This window comes from Homo sapiens, chromosome 4, assembly GCF_000001405.40.
Source record: "Homo sapiens chromosome 4, GRCh38.p14 Primary Assembly".
NCBI classification, from domain to species: domain Eukaryota; kingdom Metazoa; phylum Chordata; class Mammalia; order Primates; family Hominidae; genus Homo; species Homo sapiens.
The window spans coordinates 80,995,772-81,004,187 of record NC_000004.12 but is presented as its reverse complement, the minus strand read 5'-3'; the positions used below and the strand labels follow the sequence as shown (position 1 = coordinate 81,004,187).

At 37.2% G+C, this 8,416-nt stretch overlaps 1 annotated feature.

Moving 5' to 3' along the window:
* Positions 267–316: an enhancer, noted in NCBI's record as "active region_21656". NCBI's record gives its function as "activates an Ori minimal core promoter by ATAC-STARR-seq in GM12878 lymphoblastoid cells {active_cell/tissue: GM12878}" and the evidence as "EXISTENCE:reporter gene assay evidence [ECO:0000049][PMID:35858748]".

The window sequence follows — 8,416 nt, the reverse complement described above, 5'->3', positions numbered from 1 at the left end:
TGACTTTTTAATCAGCTCTCCCGGGATGTCCATGGTGGCCTTTTCTACTTCTTTCTGGTCCTTTTTTTTTTTTTCTTGTTCCTACTCCCTTCTTCCTGTCCTCCCTGCATGTTTGTGTTCTTACCCAACATCTGCCCTTGGCCCAGGGGGCAATTTCCAGCTCTGGGTATTGTCTATTTTTTTTTTTTTCCTTTTACAACATCTCCCTCATGGCAATAAACACACATTTGCATTTCAATAGCAACGCCTGGGTATGTTTAAAAAAATACCATCCACATATAATTAATATTTAACACAGGAAATTCTGGTTCCCCTTTCTGTTATCTCTCCTCCCTCCCTCCTCCATCACCCATTGCTTTCAGAAGGGGGCTGCATTTCTAACACATTGCCAGCTGTGAGTGCAAGTGAAGCTTAAAATAGCCAGGCTTGACCGCTTGTGCTTTTCACACTTTGAACCTGTGATGACTGTTGTTCAACTTATGATTGTGGCTGCTATCTCTCACCTTTTTCCTCAGAGACTCACCACACCTTGTTTCATATAAACTATCCAGTACTTGACTTACAGAAAGAAATAATGATGACTCCTTTCTCTCACTTCACACCTCCAGGCAATCCCTCTGAACCATCACAGAAAAAGATGAAGACTGTAATTTGTATACTAATGCTCATGTTTCTCTTTTCCACTCTATCTTCAACCTCATCCCTACACCTCTAGGTCTGTACAAGTAGATTGAGAGTAAGAAAATCAGTGAAGACATACCAAAGACTTTTCACTGTTTTTAAGGAAGTAAAATAAAAACAATTTAATTTTGTATATCATTTGTAAATTTCAGAGTATTCCAATTTGCAAGCCACAATAATACTTTGGAAGTAGAAAGGACTATTATATTACAATATTATTAATCCAGTTTTCTAGGGAAGAAATCAAGGTTCAAGGAGGTTAACTGATTGTTTTTCCACCAACAAACTGAAAAATACACACCACACATCATAAATTGTTTTGCATTTTCTATCCTCTTGTAGTCCAGGATTAAGCTCATTCATTTATTCATTCATCCTCTAATATTTCTTGAACTCCTACCATGAGTGAGGCTTAGTGTTAACTGCATGTCTGGGTTGTGCTTATGTTAGAGGTATGGTTTAAAGTCGTTCTACAGATGTCTTAACTAACCTTTCTTTTCCCAGCCCCCTTAATGCATTAACTCTACTTTGATTCTCACATGTGATCTCATCTATCCTTCCTATAGTGGACCCATAAGAACAGATTTTCTGCAAGAATCAGCCAGGGCCTTCATAACTGCTTATAGTGACATTTACTTTTTCAAGAATTAATGGATTCTTATTTATTGGTCTCATATTTTCCTGCTTGTATACTTTTTCATGTTATTTTTTCTATTTAGGTTGTACAATGATGAAAAAATAAGTCATATATAAGTATTTTCCATCTCAAGTTGAGAAAAGCCACATAAACATTCTTCAACCTTTTATCAGACATCAACAATAACATATCTTATTTTTGATATAATGTATCAATGTTTAATAATAGACAAATCAGAAAAGAGCACAGCAACAAATATGTCTTTGATATGATATTTGAAATAATTTGGTCCTGGTGTAATAGGCAGTTCCACTCATTTGAATATGCATGAGACAGATAACAAGGACGATATGATGTTGCCATCCTCAAGGTTTTTCTTGAGTGAATTATTAAGGCAATAAAATATTGGCTAAGACACGGACAAAAATATTTTCTCACATTGTAAAGGTACTTATTATACAAAACAGTAGTTACATCACAAATTAAAAGCAAGGTAAAAAGGAAAACATTTTCCCAGGAATGGGTTAAATTATATCAACAAGTCCATGATTTTGGTAAAAAGTAAATATTCTTTTTACTGTACAGAGCCATTTTTTTTTGTGGTAAAGTGGCAATATCTCTGTATAGGCCTCATCTAGTCATTGATTAAATTGATTAATAGTTTAGATAAAATAATGAGCTAACTTTTATTGAAAACTTAGTATGTGTTAAGGGCTATTCCAAGAACTTTAGATTTATTATCATATTAATTTATCTTTACAACCCAGTGTAGTAGGCACTATTATTATTCATTTTGCAGATGGGGAAACTACGGCTCAGTGGGGTTAAATAATATTTCCTAGATCACACAGCTAATAAAATTGAAACAACCTGGTTTCAGATACATGAACTCTTGAAATTAACTCCTTCAAGCCCATGTTCTATCAGATACATTTTGAAAGGCCATGCTCAGAAAATTCATTGGTGGTGGAAGAATTAAGTCTACTCTGACCATATTTTTTAAAGGAAAACTTAGGACACATAGTTTGACCAACAGCAACGTGCTCTGTATGGCATATAGCAGCCACTCAATAATTTCACTGGGTCATCAGGGAAGGATGTTTGAAATCGGAGTTTTCCTGGAAAATCTTGGAAGGTCTGGTATTGTATACATGCCCTTCAAGGTGATAACCATAGAACTTATGCATAAGATGCATATTTGATAATCCTCCTTGCTATGGCCTGAATATTTGTGGCCCTCCAAAATTCATATGTTGAAACTTAATCCTCAACGTGATAGTATTAAGAGCTGAGGCTTTTTGGGAAGGGACTAAGTCATACGACCTCCACCCTCATAAGTGGGATCAGTATTGTTATGAAAGAGGTTAAAGGGAGCTCCTTGGCCTCTTCTGCCATGTAAGGACATGGCAATAAGGCATCATCTGTGGAGTAGAGAGAGAGTCTTCACCAGATGCAAAATCTACTGGTGCATTGATCTTGGACTTCCCAGCCTCCAGAACCATGAGAGATAAATTTCTGTTATTTATAAATTACCCAGTATAAAATATTTGGCTATAGTGACCTGAACAAACTAAGACATTCCTTTAGAATGAAAGAAGTTTTTATATTCTTTTTCAAAGGGTATTGGCATTTAGCTAGTCATTCATCTACAACTTAATGATTTAATCTTTTTTTGACTTGGTTGTAATATTTGATCTTCTGGTAATTTGTGAACTGCTGGAATGCTTAACTTTGCGGTAGAGGAGGAAGCATAAAATAGTCTTTGTATTATTTATAATTATCCTTAATCTAGGCTTGATGGAACAGTGTGGTATATTTTGACTGTTCCATTGGGATAAGTTGCTGGAGTTTTTCTTTAAGTGAAATACTGTAGACTGGGTTGCTATTTAGCAACCAAACATATAATCAAAGCAATGGGAAGGTTGGGGGTAGAGAAATTCTTGCACTTTTAATTTGTTTATAAAAATAAGGCAAACATTTCAAGAAGAAACATTGTCCAGTTCCAAACTCCAACAGAGGTTACATCTTCCTAAATCACTTCTTTGGAAAATTCATATCGTCCTGCTCTACCCAGCATCAATATTGGTGAGTTTGCAGTGTGGAAATTTTAGGCTTTTGTAGAAATCAGGGCTTCACACAAAAGAGGAGAAAGACAGTAGAAACAAAAGTTGTGTCTGGCCTGTTATTCCTGCAGACCCTCAACTCCTGATGTCATGAATCTTAAGGGAGTATTTTAAAAACAAATTATAAAGTATAAATTAGCTTAGCATCATGTTGTACACCATAAATATATAAAGTTTTTATTTGTCAATTTCAAAATGAATAAAGACAGTGAAACAATACAAAATGTATAACATAGTTTAACTTACTTGGAAGTTATCTTCAGCAACAGCAGGAATACAGTAAGAGTAGTATTGTAAAATAGGAAGTCTCAAATAATTTATGTTGTGGTGAGTCTGAAATAATTTAGGAGTAAAAATATCCTTACAAACATTAGGATGGGTGAGGTAACCCAGAGGTGAGGAGTGATATATGTATATCCCACTGTTTTACCCAGTTGATTCAATATTCCCAGTGACATTTATGTTTAGAATTTGCATTATGTAATTTTATAACAAGTTCTGAATGAAGGTGAGTACTAGGATTATGGAGACATGACAAGCAGGTATTGTAAAGACAATTTACTTTTTTTCAGGTCACTCTCCTATGTGTGTGACGGATGTAATGCTGAGTCAGTTGTATATTTAATTGTTGGATTTACAATCTTTCTTTAAAATGCCACCTGAATGTAGAGGTAAGTTTGTCACCATCAAAGACTAAAACTAGCAAAAATAAGCATATAAGATATTCTTAGAAGCAAAGTAGCCGGGGAGATAAGAGCATGGACTGGGTTTCTGCTGTATGTGTTCGGATTCAGGCTCTGTTGCTTATAGCTGTTTGGACCTCAGAAATTTACTTAACCATTTTGTGCCTCAGTTTCTATTTGTAAAATGAAGACAACGTACAGTATTTTCTTCATAGGTCTGTGGTGAAGATTAATTAAGATAACACAAGTCAAGTTCTTAGAACACTATCTAGAACATGGTATATGTAAGTGCCAGCTATTTATATTTTCTACAAAACTGTTCCCTGTTGAGCAAATAGTTTGCAGGTATGTAATTAATGGAGGCAATCAGGAAAGGGTCCCACTCTAATTGAGGTATCTGAGCTGCTTCTTCAGAAGCTGAAAAAAGAACCATAATCTAATTGATGTTATTGGACCCTGACTGATTAAAAATGTGTCAATGCGAGACTAAGGTAGGCCAGGGGAGACAAAGAGTGAGACTTTATCAGGGCTGACTTAGAGGTGGCCTACATTGAGGGTGCTGGGCAAACTGGTTCCCTTGTCAGATTCAAGCCCATTGTGGAGTGGAGACAAACAGGATGACATGACTCCTGAACTAGTCTAAACCTTTTTGCACCTCCTCCACACTTGTTCTCCAGGCCCTATTCTGAGGGGAGTTTAGTTTCTCATGTGCTAGGGAGAGAACAGACTGGCCATCCAACCTGAGTATTACAATGTTCTTGGTCTCTATATTTCTTGTTGTAATTCTTTCTATCTGCATTTTGGGTTTATATCAGGTTCTTAAAGGTTTTATCTAGAAAGGCAATATAACATATTGTGCAGAAGTTCTCAAATTTGAATTCATAAAACAATCACATGAGAAATTTTTTTTTTTTTGAGTCAGAGTCTTGCTCTGTCACCCAGGCTGGAGTGCAGTGGCATGATCTCAGCTCACTGCAACCTCGGCCTCCCAGGTTCAAGCAATTCTTCTGCCTCAGCCTCCTGAGTAGCTGGGACTACAGGTGTGCATCACCACATCCGGCTAAGTTTTGTATTTTTAGTAGACATGGGGTTTCACCATATTGGCTGGGCTGGTCTCGAACTCCTGACCTTGTGATCCACCTGCCTTGGCCTCCCAAAGTGCTGGGATTACAGGCATGAGCCACTGTGCCTGGCAGAATTTTTTTTTTAAATCTAAATTCCTACTCCCAGTTCTCCCTACCACGCATGCACACACAGGTGCTGATTTAGAAGGTCTGACCTAGGGTCCAGAAGCCAACATTATCCACAGGCACCTTAAGTGAGTCTGATGTAGGTGGTCTTCGGATCACACTTTGCACTGAGATATTGAGGACAATTGGCTTTATAATTAGAGAGAACAGGATTTGAAACAGGTTTGGATCATAATCTCGGTAGACAATCCTGGGCTCCATAACCCCGAATGTTTAAATCCCAAAATATCAAAATTCCTAAAGTCTAAGTCTTTAAAATATAAAATCTCTAACATCTAAAATCCTGAACATCACAATCATAGGATAGGTACATCATGTTAGACAGAACAATTATTTTCTTATTGTCTTCATCTGGAAATTAAGTATGGTTTAAGGAGATACGTATGGGTGCAAACTTAAAAAGGGGTGGAGTGTGAACTTAATTGTAGGTGTCAACTTGACTGGATAAAGGAGTAACTAGAGAGCCAATAAAGCATTATTTTAGATGTGTCTGTGAGGGTGTGTGTATTAGTCTGTTCTCATGCTGCTAATAAAGACATACTCAGGACTGGGTAATTTATTTAAAAAAAGAGGTTTAATTGACTCACAGTTTTGCATGGCTGGGGAGGCCTCAGGAAACTTACAATCATGGCAGAAGGTGAAGGGGAAGCAAACTTGGACCCTTTCACATGGTGGCAGGAGAGAGAGTGTGAGGAGCAAAGGGGGAAGAGCCCCTTATCAAACCATTGGATCTTAGGAGAACTCACTCACTATCATGAGAACAGCATGGGGGAAACTGCCCCCGTGCGTCAATCACCTCCAACCATTTCTCTCCCTAGACATGTGGAGATTATGGGGATTAAAATTCAAGATGAGATTTGGGTAGGGACACAGAGCCAGGTTATATCAATGTGTCCAGAAGAGGTTAGTACAGAAGTCTGAGTGGACTGGGTGGGAAAGATCTGCCCTCAATATTGGCACCATCCAGTCAGTCAGGGGCCCAGAGAGAATGAATACAGAAGGCAAATTTGTCTTTCTCTGAGAGCTGGACCATATTTTCTTCTGCTGTCTTGAACACCAGAACCCCAGGCTCACTGGCCTTTGGACTTCATGACCGCCCCGACCCTGGGGGGGTCTTTGGACTTTCAGCTTTGGACTAAGTTAAACCATCAGCTTCTCTGGTTCTCAGCGTTAAAATGTTGCAACTTTCTTAATAAATGAAGAAATGTCCTTTTTGTACATCTGCATTCATGAAAGATAGAATTTCTTGAGCTCTCAGCTGTTTGGGAAACTGCATATGCAGTGGTGATCCATTGTAGTTTTTGACCAATCTTGTCAAAAGACAAGTTGTCCATGGAGGTATTTCAGGTGACTGCAGTTATGAAGCTGGGGTCACACGATTATCAATCATAGTGGTATGTGTTTATATATTTAGCTTTGTGACTTATTATTTCATTATGAGTATGGCTCATCTGCTCATCATTGTTCTGCCCATGTGAGTGTCATTAGTGTACTTGAGTGTTTATGCTTGCAAAATATGTATTGCATATTTTATTGTGTAAATTGTCCTATGAAATGTCCTGTTGTGTTTTTACATGTTTCTCAAATATATCCTCATTAAAAATGTAAATGAATGTCTTTAAAATAATTTTTAAATTATTTTTTCTAGAATTATATTTTCAGGATTTTAGACTTTAGATCCAAATTTTCATATTTGGGATTTCAGCATTCAGGTTTATAGCATTTGGGATTGTATATTTTGGGATTATAATCAGTTACCTTTGAAACCAAACTCTGCCTCTTTCTAAAGTCTGGATGATTTTGGGTGAATGACTCAACATTTCTGAACTTCACTTTTCTCACCTTTTAAGATGGGAATATGATGCTCTGATGAGTATCAAAAAACATACTGTAGGAAAAGTGCTGAACACAGTTTTTGTGTGGCAGTTACTGTTATTATTTAATCAAAGTGTGGTAGGCTCTCTGAGCCTATTCATTTAAAAGAGAAATGAAACACTTACTAAAATGCTCACAACTATGAATATTCACGACTGGACCATAGAAGATAATGACTCCTCCAGGAGACTGCAGGCTTCAGAAGCTTTTCTGGGAATTTCTTCAAAGCACTTAACCCACAGTGGGTGCTAAATAGACAGCAAGTCCCTTTTCTGCCACATAAACTGGTAGCATTTTTTTTGAGATCTTTTTCATATATTATTTGTTTCAGAAAATTTCTAAGGTGCCCAAGCAAAGTTCCAAAGCACACACTGATACATCACACTTCTTTTCTGGCTGGGACGAATTACCGAAAAGTTAAAATACTTCTCTTTATTGAATCCCTGAATCTTACGCAGCTTTTAAAAATGAAAACCACAGCCTTGTGATGCTTATTTATGTTACAGAGGTTTTGAGCTGAAAATGATCCTCAATATCATCTGAAAACCCCATTGTCTCAGCCCAAAATCTCCTTAAGCTGATAAGCAACTTCAGCAAAGTCTCAGGATACAAAATCAATGTACAAAAATCACAAGCATTCTTATACACCAATAACAGACAAACAGAGAGCCAAATCATGAGTGAACTCCCATTCACAATTGCTTCAAAGAGAATAAAATACTTAGGAATCCAACTTACAAGGGACGTGAAGGACCTCTTCAAGGAGAACTACAAACCACTGCTCAATGAAATAAATGAGGATACAAACAAATGGAAGAACATTCCATGCTCATGGGTAGCAAGAATCAATATCATGAAAATGGCCATAATGCCCAAGGTAATTTATAGATTCAATGCCATCCCCATCAAGCAACCAATGACTTTCTTCACAGAATTGGAAAAAAACTACTTTAAACTTCATATGGAACCAAAAAAGAGCCTGCATCGCCAAGTCAATCCTAAGCCAAAAGAACAAAGCTGGAGGCATCATGCTACCTGACTTCAAACTATACTACAAGGCTACAGTAACCAAAACAGCATGGTACTGGTACCAAAACAGAGATGTAGATCAATGGAACAGAACAGAGACCTCAGAAATAATGCCACATATCTACAACTATCTGATCT